The sequence below is a fragment of the Homo sapiens genome, chromosome 12 (genome assembly GCF_000001405.40).
Source record: "Homo sapiens chromosome 12, GRCh38.p14 Primary Assembly".
Classification (NCBI taxonomy): Eukaryota; Metazoa; Chordata; class Mammalia; order Primates; family Hominidae; genus Homo; species Homo sapiens.
Window position 1 is genome coordinate 19,422,084 of NC_000012.12, and position 23,431 is coordinate 19,445,514.

The 23,431-nt window shown below is 44.0% G+C and overlaps 1 protein-coding gene across 8 annotated transcripts in view, besides 10 other annotated features; it reads left to right on the forward strand.

Annotated features, from left to right (window-relative positions):
- AEBP2 (AE binding protein 2) overlaps positions 1–23,431 on the forward strand; it is a 118,156-nt gene that overhangs the window by 18,012 nt on the left and 76,713 nt on the right. For 4 of the 8 annotated variants that reach the window (NM_153207.5, NM_001114176.2, NM_001363736.2 and 1 more), the window contains exon 1: positions 17,409–18,287. The exons of 2 other annotated variants lie outside the window; for them this stretch is intronic. In NM_153207.5, the coding sequence (NP_694939.2) occupies positions 17,617–18,287 (671 nt within the window). In that variant the 5' untranslated portion in view covers positions 17,409–17,616. Of the gene's footprint in view, positions 1–17,408; positions 18,288–18,515; positions 18,645–21,040; positions 21,157–23,431 lie in introns of those variants that run through there. 2 more of the 8 variants (NM_001267043.2, XM_047428298.1) reach the window with 2 other exon arrangements.
- Positions 9,185–10,384: an enhancer, noted in NCBI's record as "MED14-independent group 3 enhancer chr12:19584202-19585401 (GRCh37/hg19 assembly coordinates)". NCBI's record gives its function as "activates an origin of replication core promoter dependent on BRD2, BRD4, P300/CBP and CDK7 cofactors, and independent of MED14, by STARR-seq in HCT116 cells {active_cell/tissue: HCT116}" and the evidence as "EXISTENCE:reporter gene assay evidence [ECO:0000049][PMID:35650434]".
- Positions 9,513–10,244: an enhancer, noted in NCBI's record as "H3K27ac-H3K4me1 hESC enhancer chr12:19584530-19585261 (GRCh37/hg19 assembly coordinates)". NCBI's record gives its function as "activates a minimal SCP1, AML or CMV promoter by ChIP-STARR-seq in primed H9 embryonic stem cells {active_cell/tissue: H9 hESC(primed)}" and the evidence as "EXISTENCE:reporter gene assay evidence [ECO:0000049][PMID:30033119]".
- Positions 9,757–9,816: an enhancer, noted in NCBI's record as "active region_6075". NCBI's record gives its function as "activates an Ori minimal core promoter by ATAC-STARR-seq in GM12878 lymphoblastoid cells {active_cell/tissue: GM12878}" and the evidence as "EXISTENCE:reporter gene assay evidence [ECO:0000049][PMID:35858748]".
- Positions 9,837–10,106: an enhancer, noted in NCBI's record as "active region_6076". NCBI's record gives its function as "activates an Ori minimal core promoter by ATAC-STARR-seq in GM12878 lymphoblastoid cells {active_cell/tissue: GM12878}" and the evidence as "EXISTENCE:reporter gene assay evidence [ECO:0000049][PMID:35858748]".
- Positions 12,487–12,586: an enhancer, noted in NCBI's record as "active region_6077". NCBI's record gives its function as "activates an Ori minimal core promoter by ATAC-STARR-seq in GM12878 lymphoblastoid cells {active_cell/tissue: GM12878}" and the evidence as "EXISTENCE:reporter gene assay evidence [ECO:0000049][PMID:35858748]".
- Positions 17,277–17,526: a silencer, noted in NCBI's record as "silent region_4283". NCBI's record gives its function as "represses an Ori minimal core promoter by ATAC-STARR-seq in GM12878 lymphoblastoid cells {active_cell/tissue: GM12878}" and the evidence as "EXISTENCE:reporter gene assay evidence [ECO:0000049][PMID:35858748]".
- Positions 17,587–17,736: a silencer, noted in NCBI's record as "silent region_4284". NCBI's record gives its function as "represses an Ori minimal core promoter by ATAC-STARR-seq in GM12878 lymphoblastoid cells {active_cell/tissue: GM12878}" and the evidence as "EXISTENCE:reporter gene assay evidence [ECO:0000049][PMID:35858748]".
- Positions 17,747–17,846: a silencer, noted in NCBI's record as "silent region_4285". NCBI's record gives its function as "represses an Ori minimal core promoter by ATAC-STARR-seq in GM12878 lymphoblastoid cells {active_cell/tissue: GM12878}" and the evidence as "EXISTENCE:reporter gene assay evidence [ECO:0000049][PMID:35858748]".
- Positions 18,497–18,546: an enhancer, noted in NCBI's record as "active region_6078". NCBI's record gives its function as "activates an Ori minimal core promoter by ATAC-STARR-seq in GM12878 lymphoblastoid cells {active_cell/tissue: GM12878}" and the evidence as "EXISTENCE:reporter gene assay evidence [ECO:0000049][PMID:35858748]".
- Positions 18,577–18,666: an enhancer, noted in NCBI's record as "active region_6079". NCBI's record gives its function as "activates an Ori minimal core promoter by ATAC-STARR-seq in GM12878 lymphoblastoid cells {active_cell/tissue: GM12878}" and the evidence as "EXISTENCE:reporter gene assay evidence [ECO:0000049][PMID:35858748]".

Here is a 23,431-nt window from a genome sequence, read left to right on the forward strand (position 1 = left end):
GTGAGCTGAGATTGCGCCACTGCACTCTGGCCTGGGTGATAGAGCAAGACTCTGGGTGGAGGGGGGAGGGGAAAGAAACTTTATAAAACCAGTATGTCATACTTGGAAGATCTGGGCAACCATACTTCCTGTCATGTTGTTATATTGCCTTTGTTATAATTTACTTTAAAATACCTACTTATAAACACTGTAATGTACTAGTGTGTAAATTAACTTTAATCTACACTCGAAAGGAAGTTAGTTATTATTAGAGTTACCCTATTAGGAATTCACACCCTGGGGCTGGTTGGTTATAGTTTGAAATGCCCTAATCAGAAAATCCATACTCCCCAGGTGGCTACTTAGGCATTTCAAGGATTTTTTAAAAAATTTATACCGGAAGGTTAAGTAATTAGCAAAAGGGATGCTAGAAATACATTTTTTTTTTTTTGAGACAGAGTTTTACTCTTGTTGCCCAAGCTGGAGTGCAGTGGTGCAATATTGGCTCACTGCAACGTCCACCTCCCGGATTCAAGCGATTCTCCTGCCTCAGCCTCCTGAGTAGCTGGGATTACAGGCATGTGCCACCATGCCTGGTTAATTTTTGTAGAAATCCGTTTTCATTGGTGAAATGTATGGTGTTCCAGATATATGGGAGGGTAGAAAGATTTCACAGTCTGATAACTCTTGTGTGAAAGAGCTGTAAGAACATCTGCCCAGGCCGGGCATGGTGGCTCATGGCTGTAATCACAGCACTTTGGGAGGCCAAGGCGGGCAGATCACCTGAGGTCAGGAGTTCGAGACCAGGCTGGCCAACTTGTTGAGACCCCATCTCTACTAAAAATACAAAATATTAGCTGGGCATGGTGGTGCATGCCTGTAATCCCAGCTACTCAGGAGGCTGAGGCAGGACAATCACTTGAACCCGGAAGGCAGAGGTTGCAGTGAGCCGAGATTGTGCCACTGCACTCCAGGCTGGGTGACAGAGTGAGACTCTGTCTCAAAAAAAAAAAAAAAAAAAAAAAAAAAAAAGAACATCTGACCAGAGTATAAGTTTCATGAGAGCAGAGTTATTAATTGACTTTATTCACAGCTATATGCCCAGTGCTAAGAGCAGTGCCTCATACATAGTAGACACTCAATATATGGTGAATAAGCTGCTAGAAAACCCAGCAACCTCCTACTTTCCAGGTCTAAGTTCTATTTGATTTTATATTGTTCATCCCTCCCCATTGCCTTCAGTTCAATTTTTGGAAGCCTCTGCTGACAGATCTGAATAGAAGATTGGCTGATCCTGCTATTTGGCTAGTACTGCAGCCACGTCAGAGTGAAGCTCCCATACAAGATGCTTTAGGCATGCTTGAAGACAGAGTGAGGATTTCCTCAAGCTTACATGAGCAGATGAGATGAGTTTTTTTGGGCCCACTTGCTAATACAGGTTAATACATTTGGAATAATCTGGGCTAAGACTAACTTGCATGGTAATCTACTACCTGATATCAAGGTCGCAGGGGCAGGCATGTTTAGCTTCCACTTATATAAATCAGCGGATGCTATTGATCTTTACTAAAATAATCTGACAGCTGCTGAAGGGCCACATAGGCTGAGGTTAATGTAAAATACATGAGAGGGGCCGGGCACCATGGCTTACGCCTGTAATCCCAGCTACTCAGGAGGCTGAAGCAGGAGAATTGCTTGAACCCCCGAGACGGAGGCTGCAGTGAGCCGAGATTGCGCCACTGCGCTCCAGCCTGGGCGACAGAGTGAGATTCTGTCTCAAAAACAAATAAATAAATGAATAAATAAAAAATAAAATACATGAGAGGTGTCCAGTCCTCCTCATGTTATGTGAGACGGAAACACATAAAATTTTATATATTGGTCCCAGTATAATTAAGGGTCCCATATCTCAAGGAGGCATCAATACTGTACGGCAGCATGGAGGATGAATCTGGGAGGCTCTCAGCAGAGATCAGCATCATGAGAATGGATGTTATTTACCGGGAAGACCTTGTAGAATAAGAAGAGAGTTGGGCCAAGTAGGTAGACTTGGAAATCAATACTTAAAAAGCAAGGAGATCAAGAAGAAACCATGAAAGCTATAGATCATTGAAATGAGTGTGGTATCAGAGAAATCAAGAGAAGAGTGGCAAGGAAGGAAAAGGAGAGGGGAAAACGTGGCAAAGCATGCAACACAGAAAAGACTTGATCATGCTCATGAACAGCAGAGAAGGAGCCAGTACAGAGGACAGTGTTGAACACACAGTAGAGGACATGAAAGATGATGGGATCAAGATGCAAAGTAAAGGTTTGTTAAGTAAAGGCTAAGATGTCTTTTTTTCTTTTTTTTTTGAGACGGAGTCTTGCTCTGTCATCCAGGCTGGAGTGCAGTGGCGCGATCTCGGCTCACTGCAAGCTCTGCCTCCCGGGTTCACGCCACTCTCCTGCCTCAGCCTCCTGAGTAGCTGGGACTACAGGCGCCCGCCACCTCGCCTGGCTAATTTTTTGTATTTTTAGTAGAGACGGGGTTTCACCCTGTTAGCCAGGATGGTCTCGATCTCCTGACCTCATGATCCGCCCGCCTCAGCCTCCTAAAGTGCTGGGATTACAGGCGTGAGCCACCGCGCCCGGCCTAAGATGTCATTTTTTAAAAAAAGTACCCTAGCTAGGTGTGGTGGCTCACACCTACAATCCCAGCACTTTGGGAAGTCGAGGTGGGTGGATCACTTGAGGTCAGGAGTTCAAGACCAGCCTGGCCAACATGGTGAAACCCCATCTCTACTAAAAATACAAAAAATTAGCCAGGCATGGTTGTGTGCACCTGTAGGCCCAGCTACTCAGGAGGCTGAGGCGGGAGAATCACTTGAACCCAGGAGGTGGAGGTTGCATTGAGCTGAGATTGAGCCACTGCACTCTAGCCAGGGTGACAATGTGAGACTCCATCTCAAAACAAACAAACAAACAAAGACCTTAAAATATAGTAGCTTAAATAAGATAGAGGTTTATTTTTCTCTGTCATGTAACAGTCTAGCCACTAAACTGGCATGCAACTTTGCACCACAAGTCACTCAGGGACCCACCTTCCTTCCATATTGTTGCTTCACTGTCTCTACATGTTGAAGGTGGGTCAACGACACAGTCCTGTTCCAGCACACGGGAAAGGAAGTCAAGCTAGCATTACATCAGAAAGGGACCATACACAGAGATTACTGCTAATAAATTCTTCTACTGTTAATACCTCTATAACATCATGCTAGCTGGTATTTTGAATGTTAAAATGTGTTTTGTATTGGTGAAGCTAGTGATTTGTTAAATAGCATGATGAATATTAGAAATAGTGGAATTAGGCCAGGCACGGTGGCTCATGCCTGTAATCCCAGCACTTTGGGAGGCCGAGCTGGGTGGATCAAATAGATGAATTAGGCCAGGTCTGGCGGCTCATGCTGTAATCCCAGCACTTTGGGAAGGCAAGCTGGGTGGATCACCTGAGGTCAGGAGTTTGAGAGTTCGAGACCAGGCTGGCCAACATGCTGAAACCCTGTCTCTACTAAAAATACAAAATTAGCCGGGTATGATGGCACACCCCTGTAGTCCCAGCTACTTGGAAGGCTGAGACAGGAGAATCACTTGACCTGGGAGGTGTAGGCTGCAGCAAGCCGAGATCCTGCCACTGCACTCCAGCCTGAGTGAGACAGAGTGAGACTCCATCTCAAAAAAAAAAAAAAAAAAAAAGTGGAATTAAAGGTATTCAAGGTACGAGGGTTGTCTGTAATAGTTGGGAGACTTTCCTTATGTTTGCATGAACAGCAAATTTTGTTATCTGATATCTTAGGATGCTTTCTGATGCTTGATTCCCAAGCTGTCCTATGGTGGGATTTCTGTTTTTCTTTTTGAGACAGGGTCTTGCTCTGTTTCCCAGGCTGGAATGCAGTGGCACCATCATGGCTCACTGCAAGCTTTGCCTCCTGGCTCAAGCGATCCTCCCACCTCAGCCTCCTGAGTAGCTGGGACTACAGGCGTGCACCACCACAACTGGCTAATTTTTATATTTTTTGTAGAAACGGGGTTTCACCATGTTGCCCAGGCTGATCTCAAACTCCGGAGCTCAAGTGATCACCCACTTCAGCCTCCCAAAGTGCTGGGATTACAGGCATGAGCCACCGCAGCCGACCCTATGTTGGGATTTCTAATTCAATGATGGTGACTAGAGGGCACATGATACTGCTCCTGAAATGTGTTTGTCTGTCTTGAGTGCATCTGTCATTCAACAGCACCTAAAAGGACAGAGGAGAGAGCTGAAATTCCACTGACTTTACAGAATCGGTTATATTCACAATTCTTTGGTAACTACTGTTATCTACCTAAAAAATTCCAACACTTAGATTAACTAAATATGCTTAGGTTAATTAACTGGGTGTAAGACAGCATAAAAGAGTCTGGGAAATGTGGTCTCCAGCTGAGCTGCCATGTACCGAAGAAGAGAGGTGTGATGGTTAATTTTATGTGTCAACCTTGAATGGACTAAGGGGTGCCCAGATAGCTGGTTAAACATTATTTCTGGCCAGGCGTGGTGACTCACTCCTGTAATCCCAGCACTTTGGGAGGCCGAGGAGGGAGGGTCACCTGAGGTCAGGAGTTCAAGACCAGCCTGGCCAACATGGTGAAACCCCATCTCTACTAAAAATACAAAAATTAGCCGGCTGTGGTGTGCACCTGTAATCCCAGCTACTCAGGAGGCTGAGGCAGGAGAATCGCTTGAACCCAAGAAGCGGAGGTTGCAGTGGGCCAAGATCATGCCACTGCACTTCAGCGTGGGCAACAGAGCGAGACTCAAAAACAAACAAAATAACCAAAAAACATTATTTCTGAGACTGTCTGTGAGGACGTTTCTGGAAGAGATTAGTGTTGGAATCTGTAAACTGAGTAAAGATCTACACTCATAAATGTGGGCAAGCATTATCCAATTGATTGAGGATTTGTGGGCAAGCATTATCCAACTGACTGAGGATTCGATAGAATAAAAAGGCAGAGGAAGGTCGGGCACGGTGGCTTATGCCGCCTGTAATCCCTTTGGGAGGCTGAGGTGGGTGGATCACATGAGGTCAGGAGTTTGAAACCATCCTTGCCAACATGGTGAAACCCCATCTCTACTAAAAATACAAAAGTTAGCCAGGTGTGTTGGCATGTGCCTGTAGCCCCAGCTACTCTGGAAGCTGAGGCAGGAGAATCGCTTCTTGAACCCGGGAGGCAGAGGTTGCAGTGAGCCGAGAATGTGCCACTGCTTTCCAGTTTGGCCAACATAGTGAGTCTGTCTCAAAAAAAAAAAAAAAAAAAAAACGCAGAGGAAGGGTGAACTCTCTCTGTTCTTGAGGTGTGACATGCATCTTCTCCTATGTTTGAAACTTCTGGTTTAGACTCTGGGACTTATACCAGTGACTCCATCCAATTCTCAGCCTTTGAACTTGGTCTGAATTACATAACCAGCTTTCCTGGTTCTCCAGCTTGTAGACAGTAGGTTGCTGGACTTCTATGAGCGAATTTCCATAATAAGTAACCTTTCCTATTGCCCTTGTTTCTCTAAAATTCCCTAAAACAAGGAGGCAAAAAACCATACATACAAACATAGTATTTTTATTATTTTTTTTAGAACACCTAAGAGTCTGTCATAGTAGAAAGCTTTGGCTTTTATAGTGAAGGAAACAATAGGCAAGGACAGAGATGAGTTTATAGATAGTAGGGTGGGAAGGACAGGAAATTGAAGGATTTTACTCCTCAGAGCCTCCGTTTTCTGGGAATTAAAAAAAATCACATTTGTGTGTTTATTTTACCTGCACTAATTAGGATTTTTTTTTTCTTTTTTCTGAGACGAAGTTTCTCTCTTGTTGCCCAGGCTGGAGTGCAATGGTGTGATCTCCCGTAATCCCAGCACTTTTAGAGGCTGAGGCTGGTGGATCGCTTGAGCTCAGGAGTTCGAGACCAGCCTGGGCAACATGGCAAAACTCTGTCTCCACAAAAAAATACAAAAATTAGCTGGCATGGTGGCATGTGCCTGTAGTCCCTGCTACTTGGGAGACAGGCGGGAGGATCACCTGGGTCCTGGGAGGTCAAGGCAGCAATGAGCCGAGATTGCACCACTGCACTCCAGCCTGGGCAAAAAACCAAGACCCTGTCTCAAAAAAATAAAAGAGACAAACTGGATAAAAGATTTCTTTCTCCCTTACAAAATGTCTGAGTTTTCAGTCCACGGGGTGGATGGCATTGCAAAATGAGGTCATCTAGAGGTCCATGTTTCTTTTGTGGTTCTGTCCTTCTCCAATGTGGTGATGGTATGCATGGCTGAGGTTGCTTCACCTTCACCATCATGTCTGTGTCCCAGCCCATGAACAGGAAGGAGATAGGAATCAGACACATGTGGTGTTAGGGAGGAGGAAGGAGGATTAGCAGGTTCTGCAAAAACAGAAACAAAAGGCTGGGTGCGGTGGCTCACGCCTGTAATTCCAGCACTTTGGGAGACTGAGGTGGGCGGATCACCTGATGTCAGGAGTTTCAGGCCAGCCTGGCCAACATAGTGAAACGCTGTCTCTACTAAAAATACAACAAATTAGCTGGGTGTGGTGGTGCACACCTGTAGTTCCAGCTACTTGGGAGGGTGAGGCAGGAGAATCCCTTGAACCTGGGAGGCAGAGGTTACAGTGAGCCGACATCACACCATTGCACTGCAGCCTAGGCTACAAGAGTGAAACTCCATCTCAAAAAAAAAAAAGGAAAGAAAATGTACTTTAAAAAATCATTTAGGCGGGGCCTGGTGGCACATGCCTGTAATTCCAGCACGTTGGGAGGCCAAAGTGAGAGGACTGCTTGAGCCCAGGAGTTCGAGCCCAGCCTGGGCAACGTGACAAAACCCCATCTCTACAATTTTTTTTTTCCATTATACTTTAAGTTTTAGGATACATGTGCACAACGTGCAGTTTTGTTACATGTGTATACATGTGCCATGTTGGTGTGCTGCATCTATTAACTCGTCATTTAACATTAGGTATATCTCCGAATGCTATCCCTCCCCAATCCTCTCACCCCACAACAGGCCCCGGTGTGTGATGTTCCCCTTCCTGTGTCCATGTGTTCTCATTGTTCAATTCCCACCTATGAGTGAGAACATGCGGTGTTTGGTTTTTTGTCCTAGTGATAGTTTGCTGAGAATGATGGTTTCCAGCTTCATCCATGTCCCTACAAAGGACATGAACTCATCCTTTTTTATGGCTGCATAGTATTCCTTGGTGTATATGTGCCACATTTTCTTAATCCAGTCTATCACTGGTGGACATTTGGGTTGGTTCCAAGTCTTTGCTATTGTGAATAGTGCCGCAATAAACACACGTGTGCATGTGTCTTTATAGCAGCATGATTTATAATCCTTTGGGTATATACCCAGTAATGGGATGGCTGGGTCAAATGGTATTTCTAGTTCTAGATCCCTGAGGAATCGCCACACTGACTTCCACAATGGTTGAACTGATTTACAGTCCCACCAACAGTATAAAAGTGTTCCTATTTCTCCACATCCTCTCCAGCACCTGTTGTTTCCTGACTTTTGAATGATTGCCATTCTAACTAGTGTGAGATGGTATCTCATTGTGGTTTTGATTTGCATTTCTCTGATGGCCAGTGATGATGAGCATTTTTTCATGTGTCTTTTGGCTGCATAAATGTCTTCTTTTGAGAAGTGTCTGTTCATATCCTTCGCCCACTTGTTGATGGGAGTTTTTTTTTTTTCTTGTAAATTTGTTTGAGTTCATTGTACATTCTGAATATTAGCCCTTTGTCAGATGAGTAGATTGCAAAATTTTCTCCCATTCTGTAGGTTGCCTGTTCACTCTGATGGTAGTTTCTTTTGCTCTGCAGAAGCTATTTAGTTGAATTAGATCCCATTTGTCAATTTTGGCTTTTGTTGCCATTGCTTTTGGTGTTTTAGACATGAAGTCCTTGCCCATGCCTATGTCCTGAATGGTATTGCCTAGGTTTTCTTCTAGGGTTTTTATGGTTTTAGGTCTAACATTTAAGTCTTTAATCCATCTTGAATTGATTTTTGTATAAGGTGTAAGGAAGGGATCCAGTTTCAGCTTTCTACATATGGCTAGCCAGTTTTCCCAGCACCATTTATTAAACAGGAATCCTTTCCCCATTTCTTGTTTTTGTCAGGTTTGTCAAAGATCAGATAGTTGTAGATATGTGGCATTATTTCTGAGGGCTCTGTTCTGTTCCATTGGTCTATATATCTGTTTTGGTACCAGTACCATGCTGTTTTGGTTACTGTAGTCTTGTAGTATAGTTTGAAGTCAGGTAGTGTGATGCCTCCAGCTTTGTTCCTTTGGCTTAGGATTGACTCGGCAATGCAGGCTCTTTTTTGGTTCCATACGGATTTTAAAGTAGTTTTTTCCATTTCTATGAAGAAAGTCATTGGTAGCTTGACGGGGATGGCATTGAATCTATAAATTACCTAGGGGAGTATGGCCAATTTTCACGATATTGATTCTTCCTACCCATGAGCATGGAATGTCCTTCCATTTGTTTGTATCCTCTTTTATTTCATTGAGCAGTAGTTTGTAGTTCTCCTTGAAGAGGTCCTTCACATCCCTTGTAAGTTGGATTCCTAGGTATTTTATTCTCTTTGAAGCAATTGTGAATGGGAGTTCACTCATGATTTGGCTCTCTGTCTGTGTGTTATTGGTGTATAAGAATGCTTGTGATTTTTGCACATTGATTTTGTATCCTGAGACTTTGCTGAAGTTGCTTATGAGCTTAAGGAGATTTTTAGCTGGGTGTGATGGCGCATTCCTGTAGTTACAGCTACTCAGGAGGCTGGGGCAGAAGGATAGCTTGAGCCCCAGAGGTTGAGGTTGCAGTGAGCCACTGCACTCCAGTCCAGGCAATAGAGCCAGACCCTGTCTAAAAAAAAAAAAAAGAAAAAAATTATTTAAGGATTATTTAAGGTAGTTTACCAAGATGTAGACATGACAAAATAGATATACAGGCAAGTAAAGAAATAAGGGAGAAAGTGAAAAAGGAGGAAAAATAGGGGTATGACTAAAGCTAGCAAGGAAAATAGCTGCCATACATACTTAAGAAAGGAGGGCTGGTTGCTTTATTTTGGCTGAAGGCCAAGTTGATTTATCCAGACTGCTGATAGACTTTTATTTTATATTTCACTTATTAAATATTAAGTTTAGGTTTTTCTACCCTACCTTCCCAGGGATTTGATGGATAAAGTACTAACTGGTATTGTGACTTGTATGTTACAATAAACAATCTGTCAATTTCAATTTTTTTAATAATCGAGAGAGTTTTGAACATCACATGAAGTTTTTTGGCAAGTCAGATATAAAATACACGAAAAGACAAAAAATGTGGCAGCTATGCTATTCACCTTTCACATTTTGCCTATCTTTTTATCTGAAGTTTATAGAAAAGGCATTTTACTAAATTCAAAGTGAGAACTACTAATACTACACCTACATATGACCTCCTTATGGTGGACGGGTGTCAGCCAAAGCAGTTAAGTTTCAAAATGGCTATACTGATAGACTTTAACTCAAAAACTATAATCATTATTTGGTCATGTTTTGGTTGGATTACAATCTACAGAATGGGAAAACTTGCATCAGATTTCTAGTTCTTTCCAGCTTTAAGATCCTATCATTTCCATCATCCTGTAAGATGTTATCTCTTTTTATGCATACTTTCTTTAAAGTCCAAGTCACTCAGAGAATGAGGTCATTATGCTGCTATTGATCTTGCTCACCATGGCAATATCAACACACAGAACCTAAATAAAGGAGCCTAAAATAAAAGTGCAAAATGTAACACAGCTGCCAATTTTAGAGAATTTTTCAGAAGTATGTCATTTGTAGTATAGTAGGAATCTCAGCTCCAGTCTAAGCTGGGTCTGTTGCTGGGCTCAAGCATGTCTGGGCATGTCTGGCAAACTGGCGAGGCAGGACTACAAGAAACCTGCTGCCATGGGGGCTGAAGCTGCTTCCTGGAACAGAACTCATTTTAGTGGAAGAGAGAATTAGAGAAGCCCTACAAGAAAGACTTAGTCATTGAATGGAGAGTAACAAATGCAGCGTGGGGTAGCTGTTACTCAAATCTGTCGCCAGTCTAGGCCCATGAAAGCATGTCTGGATCCCTAAGAGAAACAGAGCTCTGAGTAAAAACATAAAGGGCTGTTTCACTAAAAACCATATGATATTGGGCACAAGCAGTCTGCTTCGGGGTTCCCCTAACACAATGATCTCCATTTCTTCTGACTGTACTATGACTTTGGCTGTTTTGTTTGTATCCCAAATTTTGGCAGGGCATGGTGGCTCATGCTTGTAATCCCAGCACTTTGCTAGGCCAAGTTGGGCGGATCGCTTGAACTTGGGAGTTAGAAACCAGCCTGGGCAACATGGCAAAATCCCATCTCTACAAAAAATGCAAAAATTAGCCCGGCATGATGGCATGCACCTGTAGTACCAGCTACTCAGGGGGCTGATGTGGGAGGATGGCTTGAATCCAGAAGGTTGAGTCTACAGTGAGCCATGATTGCGTCACTGCACTCCAGCCTGGGCAACAGAGCAAGACCCTGTCTCAAGAAAACCCAGAAGACAAAGTAAACACACACACACAAATCCTGGTAGGTGTCTGCAGTACCTAGAATAGCAGAGCAGAGGAAGGGGTCCTGGGAGAGGATTTGACTTAGTGAGAGACCCTTGCCCTTCTGGGACTCCCAGAAGGCTGGAGATGTCCTGACTACCTTAGTAGGCTTGGTAGGTAGATGAACCAATGAAATTCAAATTATTGTTGCTAATTTGACCCCATCAGTGCTGTGGTTGATGAGTTTGAATATGACTCCTAATCAAATAGCCCTTATGCAATAGTGTGTTATTGGGCAACTTACAATTACCTATAGCATCACACGTTCACCAAGCTGGAAAAAAAGAACTGTAGAACAGTGATTCTCAATTTGTGAAAGACCAGTATTTAAAAAAAAAAATTTCTGGGCTGGGCACAGTGGCTCACGCCTATAATCTTGGCACTTTGGGCGGCCAAGGCAGGCGGATCATTTGAGTTCAGGAGTTCGAGACCAGCCTGGCCAACATGGTGAAACTTTGTCTCTACTAAAAATACAAACAAATGAGTCAGGTGTGGTGGCGCATGCCTGTAATCCCAACTACTTGGGAGGATGAGGCAGGACAATTGCTTGAACCCAGGAGGCAGAGGTTGCAGTGAGCCAGGATCTCACCACTGCATGCCAGCCTGGGTGACAGAGTGAGACCCCTTCTCCAAAAAAACAAAAAATTCTAGTGGACTGGTACTTTTGTAAAATACAGTAAAAATGAATTCCCAGTGTAATAAAATAAAATAACTGATGACATAGAAAGTATAAACTCTAAGGCCAGGCACGGTGGTTCATGCCTGTAATCCTAGCACTTTGGCGGGCTGAGGCAGGTGGATCACATTAGGTCAGGAGTTTGAGACCAGCCTGGCCAACATAATGAAACCCCATCTCTATTAAAAATGCATAAATTAGCTGGGCGTGATGGCAGGCGCCTGTGATCCCAGCTACTCGGGAGGCTGAGGCAGGAGAATCACTTGAACCGTGGGTGGAAAGGGGTGGGAGGGTGGCAGGTGGAGGTTGCAGTGAACCGAGATCATGCCACTTTGCTCTAGCCTGGGTGAAAGAGTGAAACTCCGTCTCAAAAAAAAAAAAGTATAAACTCTAGTTTTTAAATTTTTATTTATTTATTTGTTTGTTTATTTGAGATGGAGTCTCGCTCTGTCACCTAGGCTGGAGTGTAGTGGCGCGATCTCGGCTCACTGCAACCTCTGCCTCCTGGGTTCAAGTGATTCCTCTGCCTCAGCCTCCCTAGTAGCCGGGACTACAGGCACACGCCACCATGCCCGACTAATTTTTTTTATTTTAGTAGGGACGAGGTTTTACCATGTTGGCCAGGATGGTCTCGATCTCCTGACCTTGTGATCCACCCACCTCACCCTCCCAAAGTGCTGGGATTATAGGCATGAGCCACTGCGCCCAGCCAACTCTAGTTTTTTTATTGTTAGATTAGTAATTTTTTTTTTTTTTTGAGATGGAGTTTTGCTCTTGTTGCCCAGGCTGGAGTGCAATGGTGTGCTCTTCACTCACCACAACCTCCACCTCCCGGGTTCAAGCGATTCTCCTGCCTCAGCCTCCCGAGTAGCTGGGGTTACAGGCATGTGCCACCATGCCTGGCTAATTTTGTATTTGTAGTAGAAATGGGGTTTCTCCATGTTGGTCAGGCTGGTCTTGAACTCCCGACCTCAGGTGATCCACTCGCCTTGGCCTCCCAAAGTGCTGGGATTACAGGCGTAAGCCACTGTGCCTGGCCCTTAGATTAGTAATTTTATGCAGACATAAAACTGCTCTGTCAAGTTGTTATAAAAGTTTATAAAAGTTTATGAAAGCTACTTTTAGTACCTATGTAGCTACAAACCGGGAATGCACAGTTTATGAATGGGTACTGAGCTGGGGAATGACTTTGGTCCTCAGGATCATCAAACCTGTCACCTGATGCTGCCAAAAGAAACTGTCACACAGAGGTTCTGCTCTAGTTCAACACTTCAGTTATTTAAATTTTGAGAGTGAAATAATGACATCCTGTCACTGTGGTTATGGAGGAGTGTGGCCTTGTTCTAAGGAGATGCATGCAGAGCAGTGATGTCTGCAACTAAACCAAGAGGAAGACAGGGAAACTCTCCAGTGATGGGAAACACAATTTTCTGCAAAATGCCAATTCCGAGACAGTTCATTTTAGTCTTCAAGTATAAATACCACAGCTAAAATATTCGTTTGTGGCTTTGATACTTGCCATTTCCATGTGTCTAATCTCCATTCACTTTTGACACTTTTTTTTTCCCTTAATAAATCCTTCACTGGAACTTTTCACACTTTTCATCCTATCTCCTATATATTAGATTCTACAGATGTACAATATAATCTAATCATATCATACCTTTATTAAAATATCTTAGTACATACCTGTCAGAACTTTTTTTTTTTTTTTGAGACAAAGTCTCACTCTGTCACCCAGGCTGAAGTGCAGTGGTGCTTGGCTTACTGAAAGCCTGGACCTCCCTAGGCTCAGGTGATCCTCCCACCTCAGCCTCCCATAGCTGTGTGCCACCATGACTGGCTAATTTTTTTTTTTTTTTCTTGAGACGGTGTCATGCTCCGTCACCCAGGCTGGAGTGCAGTGGCGCAATTTCGGCTCACTGCAACCTCCACCTCCCGGGTTCAAGTGATTCTCCTGTGCCTGGCTAATTTTTTTATTTTTTGTAGAGATAGGGTTTCACCTTGTTGGCCAGGCTGGCCTTGAACTCGTAACCTCAAGTGATTTGTCTGTCTCAGCTCTCCACAGTGCTGGATTACAGGCATGAGCCACTGTGACTGGTCCCCAACATCAACTTTTTATTCATGTCCTTCTTCAATCTAATATTTAACTATTTTTAGCTTTCTTGCCATGATTTCTTATGGTTAATTAACCTTGTCATGAATAAATGTTGATGCTTTTCCGTATATTGCTTCTCAGTTTGAGTTCCCCAACACAGAATTCTGTTCGCTCTTCAAAATCCAGCTCAAATTAATGAAACCAGATATAGTTATTGTATGTCTTACTATACACTTTGTCGAAATCCTACATTTTTCATGAAGCTTTCCTTGATTAACTCGGCCAAACATGAACCATAATCTCCAGGGCTTAACACAGTGTCTGGCACATACATTTGTTGGGGCTCAGAAAATGATACCCCAAAGTATGGTGCTTTGGCATGCTGAGTACTTTTGTCAGAGGTGTTCGAACCACAGCGACTCGCATCGTGAATACGGGATGGGTAAAATAAGGCTGAAACCTACTGGGCTGCATTCCCAGGAGGTTAGGCATTCTAAGTTAGGATAAGATAGCAGGTCAGCACAAGATACAGGTCACAAACTCCTTGCTGGTAAAAGGATGTGGTAAAGAAGCTGACCAAAACACACAAAAACCAAGATGCGATGTAAGTGACCTCTGGTCATCGTAGCTACTCATTATGTGCTAATTATAATACATTAGCATGCTAAGAGACAACTCCCACCAGTGCCTTGACAGTTTACAAATGCCATGCCAATGTCGGGAAGTTACCCTATCGTCTAAAAAATGGAGAAACCCTCATTTCCAGGAACTGCCCACCCTTTTCCTGGAAAACTCATGAATAATCTACCCCTTGTTTAGCGTATAATCAGGAGATGACCATAAAAGTGGCCAGCCAGAAGCCCTCAGTGCTGCTCTGTCTATGGAGTAGCCATTCTTTTATTCCTTTACTTTCTTAATAAACTTGCTTTCACTTTACTGTATGGACTTACCCCAAATTCTTTCTTGTGTGAGGTCCAAGAACCCTCTCCTGGGGTCGGGATCGGGGCCCCTTTCTGGTAACACTTTGTGTTTTCTTTTGTTTTCTTTTCTTTTTTCTTTTTTTTTTGGGGGGGGGATAAGGTCTTACTCTATTGCCCAAACTGGAGTGCAATGGCTCTTGATCACTCACAGTTCACTGCAGCCTCAATCTCCTGGCTCAAGCTGTCCTCCCACCTCAGCCTCCCAAGTAGCTGGGACTACAGGTGCACACCACCACACCTGGCTAGTTAACAACAAAAAAAAGTGTTTTGTAGCGATGGAGTTTCATCCCATTGCTCAGGCTGGTCTCGAACTCCTGGGCTCAAGTGATCCCCCTGCTTCAGTTTCCCAAAGTGCTGGGATTACAAGAGTGAGCCACTGCACCTGGCCCCCATGCTGAGTACTTTGAACTAAAGGAGATTGGAAAGCCTGAGAAGCAAAGTCTCTCACTGAACCTCTGTCCTGCTGTCTCCTATCCCTGTTACTCACCCTAGGCTAGTCATATAAACCAGAACTCCTTTCCCCACAAAGTAAGCCATGAAACGAAGAAAGGTCACTCTCTGCCTTCTCATTTGAAGACTCTCATTCCAGAGAAGTCTGCTCTATACCTGGGTGTGGAAGGAATGCTACACAGAGAGGTCAAGACGAATCTGGACAGGCCTTGCTGGGTTTCCACACTCAGTCTATTACTATTAGTTCATTCTCTTTTTGTACAATCACATTTCTACATGGATGTCCACTCTGTTGAATCTAGGCATACAAATGGACAGCTTTCTCTGGGTCTTTACTTCTGAAGGCTCCTGTGTCACATAAGACTTCCATTAAATTAATTTGTTACACTTTTCTCTTGTTAACCTGTCTTTTGTTGTAGAAGTGTTGGCCATGACCCTTATGATGGGTGAGGAAAGGTATGGAGTGCAGTGGCATGATCATGGCTCACTGCAGCCTCAACCTCCAGGGCTCAAGTGAACCTCCCACTTCAGCCTCCTGAGTAGCTGGGACTACAGGTGTGCCGTAGAGACAGGGTCTCGCTATTTTACCCAGGCTGGTCTCAAACTCCTGGGCTCAAGTGAGCCTCCTACTTTGGCCTCCCAAAGTGCTGGGATTACAGGTATAAGCCACCCTGCCGGCCTTCTGATAGTTTTTAATTTACAGTTTACAGTGTATTTCACTTTAATACATTCCTTATCTAAGATTGCCTTTGAGGTTTAAAATGTTGGAAGTTAATACCTTACATTGTATGTGCCTCTGAAGGTATCTGTAAATGATGTCCCATGTTATTATTTTTGCATTCCCTTAGAGGCAACATTTTATATAACAGTTGTCCAAAGGCCTAAGGCAGAGGATGTAATACTGGGTACTCACGGTATATGACGACTTTCCCAAATGGGAAATGAGCATGGAGGCTCTGTTTTCAGGCAGTCAGTTCTATCCTCATTTTCCTTGAGTAGAAGCATCCCTAAAATTGGCCTGAAAATGTGTCCTTGGGTCAGGGTGTAATGTGGGCTCTTTTCCAGTCTCCTTTCTTCCAATGACCTCTTCCCTACTTTACAAAAGAAAGGCATAATTCTTCCTCATGCTAAATCTTAGTAAGGTGCAATACCCGGTTATGCAAAAACCTCCAGGACACCAAAGAAAGGCACAATTGACTGGTGAATAAGAATGGGGTAACACATCCTTTCACAAGTCAGGTGGTTTTCAGTTGCTTGCTTTCAACAAGTTGAAAGAGAACCTAATCAGAGTTGTCAGCTGACAGATCATTAAAAGTATTTTTTCTTTGTTAGATCTTTATGCGATTTTTGGGCATATAATGCGAAAGGCATTCAAAGAATTGTGTGGCATTACTATAACAAAACTCCATTCATTCTCATCTGCTTTTTTTATGCGAACAAGTTTTCTCAACACTTATATCCATGGAATTGAAAACTTGGAATAGAACTGATGCTGAACTATTTCTCAAAAAAATCCATCCACTGAAGGTCATAATGTATATTAGAAAAAAGTCCACCCAAGTTCATTTCTGCAAGATGCATTGCCAATAAAATTTTGCTTTTGTGTTTAGTACTTACAAACATTTGAAATAGATTTGTTTTGATCGGTTGAAATAAGAGCTTTATGATCACAGAAAATATAAAAAACAACCCAGATACTTCAATTTATGTTCACATTTTTATTACAAGTAAGACGATCAAAATAGTTCAAATATAAAATATATTACTAGGATAAAATTCTAGAGGAGATATGCAACGTCAATATGAGTTCCAGAAAACAATATTTGGAAATTGTATTTTCCAAACTGTATTTTAAAAAAATGGATATTAGTGGGTGTTAAATCCCTATGGTATTTAGAATCCATTGGCTATACAGTATTTAAACAATGCGACAGATGAAATATTTATAAGCCGGAAAAATGTAGCTGTCATTCTAAACTGTATAAGAACATACACAGCTTTACGAAATTGTTTTAGAAGGCTCATGAAGTAAAAAGTTTGAGGACCCTGAACCAAGATGTTTGCTCTGGGTTCAGGATGTCAACATCTCCAGGGGTATTCAAACATAGGGTGTATTAAAACCTGTCGCCCTGTGTTGCGCATAAAAATTTAGTACCTTACACCGTAGTGTTTTAATTTTTGCCCATTTTAAACCGCTCTCTTCGTAGACTGTAGGCTCGTTCTATTCCTGGCTCAGCTCCTGTACAGAGGGGACACTCCTCAAACACCCCCGGAATGAATGAGTTTATCGTGAGAACTCGGAAGGCTGCTAAAATCCCCGGCCAGCGTTGGAGTTTTCAGTCCGCGTGTCCCTGGGCTTCGAAGCCCGGCAGGGCGTGGGAAGGCCCCGAGGAAACGCTGAGCACTTGCAGGCGCCGGGGCGGGGGCGGGGGCGGGCACTGGGCAGCGGGGCGGGCGCCGGGCGGGGGCGGGGGCGCAGAACCCGCAGCCGGGGGAGGTGCTGCCTCGTGCCGCCGCGCAGGCGCGCAGCAGTCTCCGTGTGAGTGCGCGTAGTCGCGCGCCTGTCCCCGCGCGGGCTCCGTAGCGCGTGTGCAGGCTGACGCAGCTCGCGGGCCCTCCTCCTGCTCTGCAGCGGCGTCGGCGGAGTTTTGGGCGTTTGGGAGGGGGGCGAGGGAGAGAGAGTCGAGAGAGGGAGGCGGCGGTGGGGAGGAGGAGGAGGAGGAGGAGCAGGCGCCGCCATGGCCGCCGCTATCACCGACATGGCCGACCTGGAGGAGCTCTCCCGCCTGAGCCCTCTGCCCCCCGGCAGCCCGGGTTCGGCGGCGCGGGGCCGGGCTGAGCCCCCCGAGGAGGAGGAGGAAGAGGAGGAGGAGGAAGAGGAGGCGGAGGCCGAGGCGGTGGCGGCGCTGCTGCTGAACGGCGGCAGCGGTGGGGGCGGCGGAGGCGGCGGCGGAGGAGTGGGGGGCGGCGAGGCAGAGACGATGTCGGAGCCGAGCCCCGAGAGCGCCAGCCAGGCCGGGGAGGACGAAGACGAGGAGGAGGACGACGAGGAGGAGGAAGATGAGAGCAGCAGCAGCGGCGGGGGTGAGGAGGAGAGTAGCGCCGAGAGCCTGGTGGGCAGCAGCGGCGGGAGCAGCAGCGACGAGACCCGCTCGTTGAGCCCCGGCGCCGCCAGCAGCAGCAGCGGGGATGGGGACGGCAAGGAGGGCCTGGAGGAGCCCAAGGGACCGCGGGGCAGCCAGGGCGGCGGCGGGGGCGGCAGCAGTAGCAGCAGCGTAGTCTCCAGCGGCGGCGACGAGGGCTACGGGACTGGGGGAGGCGGAAGCAGCGCGACCTCCGGGGGCCGGCGGGGCAGCTTGGAGATGTCGTCGGATGGGGAACCCCTGAGCCGCATGGACTCGGAGGACAGGTCAGTGCTCTGAAGCGTTTCCCCTTCCCTTCCTCCTCTTGAACTCCCGGGCCCCTCAGAGGGGGACCAAGGCGACGTTTTGCCGCGATCCCCCTGCTCCCCGAATCCTCGGCCCCTCCCCCAGACTCTCAACTCGGAAATCTCTCGCCGTCGCCGCCGCGCCCCTCTCGCAGCGCATCGCGGCTTCCAACTCTCAAACCGTTCCCCCCCAACTCTCCTTTCCCCGCCCTCTTTCCCCTCGGCGCTTCGCTCCTCACGGACCTCAGGACGGCTCTAACTCGGAAACAGTCCCCAAACGGGCCCAGATCCTCTGGCGGAGCAGAAGAGGGCCTTGATGTACACACGTCGGTACTCAAGGTTAGCTTCTTCCAACCGTGTTCGGGAACACTTGTCAGAACTACAATTGACAAGTGTTTCCAATATGGCTGGTCTCGCCTGGATTTAACAGAACTTCCTTGTCCATGGGAGAGACCCCAGCTATCACTTTTCTCTACTTAAACAAAAAAAGGACTGTTCTTTTATATTAAATCATTGCCTCCCAAATCCCTCATTTGTAGTCAGTCATGTGGTCTCCAACGTGATTTTAACAATCTTTTCTATTTGTTTTGGGAGCATATCTGGGAAAAAGTTTTAAACACGTATAAATGGTTGTGGAAAAGAATAGTGAATTGATGGCCTTTTAAGATAACTTTGCGGAATCAGAGAGTTGGAATCGTAACAAAATACAGTCTTGAAGGTACAACGTAGTTTGCGGCTTTATAGTAATGTTTCAACATGAGAGTCATGATTTTAAATGATAATATTTAAAGTCATGCATTGGAGAGGTCTCGGAAGGAATGAGTATTATTTTTCTTACTAAAGCTTGTTAGAAGTAACTGGAGAGTGACAAAAATGCGCATTTTTTCAGAACATTTAAAAAGTGTGATAGTGTATGTTTCAATTGTCTTATCATTACTTTTGATCTGTTTGGGTTAGTTGGTTTTTAATGTACTTTTAAAAAAACGAGAATCACATGCATATTATGCCACTTCTAAAGTGTATTAGCGTTTATTTTGACCATCTATGTTTTGACAATCACATTTTTTTTAAACATGCTCTCCAGAAAAGTATAGCAATGGAAATTTTAGTGGTCGATAGTGATTTTCATTTAAGAGTTTAATATTCTAAAGTTCTAGGAATTCTGATTAATTGATTAAAAACGAACACCTTAGTATTTAATGCTACAAGTAATACAGAGTCCTGGATATTTTGAAAATCTGGCATTAGATTCTGTTTGACATTAACGTCTAGTTAAGAAAATATCTTCGGGTAAAGTAGACTGTATAAACCTTAGAAAAATTGTGTTGAACTGTGTAGGCATGGGTAGGAAGGAGAATGTCTTCAAGAAAATTAAAAATTGATGTAAACTGCACAATGAAGCATGTGCTATTTTTACCATTTTATGCTCCTCTGATACCATTACATATCTGAAAGTTGACATTAGTTTATAAAATCAGCGTTTTTCATTTACTCAGTATACACGTATTATGCTTGCCTACCACTGTACAAATTAGATGTCTTCCATTTCATTCCCACAACTATGGTGCAAGATAGGTATTATTTTGACTTCTGTTTAACAGATGAAGAAGCAAGTTGAGTATCTTACTCAGGACAGTAAATACAGCATGGAAATGGTGGGCTGGATATGAGCAAAGGTTCTCAAGTCCCCTATTATTTCCACTGAAGAGTTAAAATAATTCGCCTTAAATAAGTTGAGGCCGGGCGCGGTGGCTCAGGCCTGTTAACCCCAGGACTTTGGGAGGCCGAGGTGGGCGGATCACCTGAGTTGGGAGTTTGAGATCAGCCTGGCCAACATAGTGAAACCTTATCTACATTAAAAATACAAAAATTACCCGAGAGTGGTGGCGCGCGCCTGTGTTCCCAGCTACTCGGGAGGCTGAGGCAGGAGAATCGCTTGAACCCGGGAGGCAGAGGTTGCAGTGAGCTGAGATGGTGCCACTGCACTCCAGCCTGGGCGACAGAGCGAGACTCCGTCTCAAAAAAAAACCAAGTGATATGTGTCAGAGTTTTGTTTTTAGTTAGTGTCCATTTACTACATCACTTCAGGAGACGAATTATTGGTTAAGTACATTTAGGAAGTGGAGTTGTGGCTTTTATTTGACATTAATGAGATATTTACTTGAGTATATAATTTTTACATCTTATTTCAGAATAAGAAGTAAAATACGGGTGTCACAAATCCAACTACAGTTAAAACTTGATAACCAAGCAAACTTGGTTTTCTTAATGCTTAATTTTAGAGACTACAGAATACTGTTTTTAATGTCACCATTTCAGGGTAATAGATTTGTCACTTGTATGAAGAAGGCTTACTAGTGAAACTGGCTTGGGGTCTTAATAATCTTAATTCTGAAACATCTTCTTGTTGCCTTTGAGATTTTTCTCCCAGTTATTTTGAGTTTGGAAAGGATCCCTAATTCTTATAAATTACTGTAGATTACATCAATCTGTGGATTTTATAGGTTGATTTCATGGTAAGAAAACTTCATTTTTGTAACCAGTGGAAGGATAATCTTAGTTTTAAAGTGCTCTATAACATTTTTAGGCATTCCTATTACAAAGATTCTATTATAATGCCCATTTACCTTTCCCATCGTTTTGGTTACGTTGTGCTTTTTAGTTTATCTGATATGCTCTAGAATTTGTTGAACATCTTTGTTAAATATCTTTTTCTTTTTTTTTTTTGAGACGAGTCTCACTCTATCGCCCAGGCTGGAGTGCAGTGGTACGATCTCGGCTCACTGCAACCTCTGCCTTGTGGGTTCAAGCGATTCTCCTTCCTCAGCCTCCTGAGTAACTGGGATTACAGGTGAGTGCCACCACCCCTGGCTAATTTTTGTTTTTAGTAGAGATGCGATTTCACCATGTTGTCCAGGCTGGTCTTGAAATTCCTTGACCTCAAATGATCCTCCCACCTGGGTCTTCCAAAGTGCTGGGATTACAGGAGTGAGCCGCCACCGCAGGCCATGTTAAATATCTTAAGTGCTACTTTTAAAAAGATAATTAGGCCGGGCATGGTGGCTCACCCCTGTAATCCCAGCACTTTGGGAGGCCGAGTCGGGTGGATCATTTGAGGTCAAGGAATTCCAAGACCAGCCTGGACAACATGGTGAAACCCCATCTCTACTAAAAATACAAAAAAATGAGCCAGGCATGGTGGTGCAGGCATGTAATCCCAGCTACTCAGGAGGCTGGGGCAGGAGAATGGCTTGAATCTGGGAGGCGGAGGTTACAGTGAGCTGAGATTGCACCACTGCACTCCAGCGTGGGCGACAGAGCAAGACTCCATCTCAAAAAAAGATAATTAAATATAAAGACATAGATATTAGAGGTTATGACCTGAGATGTCATTTATGGTATTGGAAGGTTTTGTGGTAAAAAGTGACTAATTTATGAAATGATTAAATACCACTTGGTACAAAAAGTTGATTTTTTTCCCCCCAGAAGAAAGTTTTTCAAAACCAGTGTAAGTTTATAGCGTGTTTATTTTAGTAAATTTAGAAATTCTTGAAATTTATATGTAATTTTATTTTTACTTTGGTTATAAAGATAGTAGGGAGAAGTATTTTGGTTATAAAGATAGTAGGGAGAAGTATTTAGCTATGTGAAACCGCTAAAAACTAGCTTTTCTTTACTCTGAACTTTTTTTCTCTTCAGTGAAGCTGAAGTACTTTTTAAAAAAGTTATGCTCTTAGGTTAATTTCAGAGGCTATGGTAACTTTAAAAAAAATTTAAAAAATTTTAAACATAATTTTATTTTCATTCTTCCAACACAGTATCATGTAAAAATAGTTTAAAATATGGTTGAATGAATGAGTCATCCAAAAAGTGATCAAATGTCAGCACTTGTTACTGAACGTGTATTTATGCTAAAAAAGTTAATGCCGAGAAAATAGAAGACAGTCTCAAGTTCAAGTAGTAAATTAGCTTTTAAATGGAATTTTAATATTTAAAATGCCCGTGGAGTTAGTTAACAAATTAGTACTAGCTATTGAATCAGTTAATATATGAAAGTACTCTTGGCCAGGCATGTGGCCCACACCTGTGATTCCAGCACTTTGGGAGGCCGAGGAGGGCAGATCACATGAGGTCAGGAGACTAGCCTGAGCATGAACCACCAGACCTGGCGCAAATCTTAATATTACTGCCTATATTTCAATTTTTGAGTAGTATATCTTTGAACTTTAGTTCCTCAACTACAAAACAGGTATTACTCTGAAGTGTTGTTTTGTGGTTCAAGTGAAATAATTTCTGTTAAAGAGCGCTGTGAACTGTTTGGAGGAATCCATCCACGTTGCTTGAATGCGTGCATCTTTTCTGTTGTAGAATGGTATTTTGGAGGGCAGGGACATTTTTGCTTTTTTAGTATCTTTGTAAGTACCTAACATAATATCTTGGGTGTGGTGAATACTCCATTAATTACTAGCATTAAATTGAGAATACCAACAGTAGTATGTATGTATGCATTTATGTATTTATTTTGAGACAGAGTCTTGCTCTGTCACGCAGGCTGGAGTGCAGTGGCGCGATCTCAGCTCACTGCAGCCTCTGCCTCCTGAGTAGCTGGGACCACAGGCACCTGGCCCAACAGTAGTATTTATTTAACGTCTTACTACTTGAGGTCTCTTGTCTATGAAAGGGGGACAATAATGGTTCCTATCCTGTAAGATTGCAATGTGAATTGTAGAGTATTTGGTACACGTTCATTAAGTGTTTACTGTGTGATGGGTATATTCTACAGATGTATATAGAATCCATGTTATGTGACAGATGCTTTATTTTTTTTGATATAGGGTCTCACTCTGTCACCCAGGCTGGAGTGCAGTGGTGCGATCTTGGCTCACGGCAGCCTCTGCCTCCCGGGTTCAAGCAATTCTCCTGCCTCAGCCTCCTGAGTATCTGGGATTACAGGCGCATGCCACCGTGCCCTGCTCGTTTTCTTTTTTTTTTTTTTTTTGTATTTTTAGTAGAGAGGGTTGCACCATGTTGGCCAGGCTGGTCTCAAACTCTTGACCTCAAATGATCCGCTTGCCTCGGCCTCCCAAAGTGCCGGGATTATGGGCATGAGCCACCGTGCCCGGCCT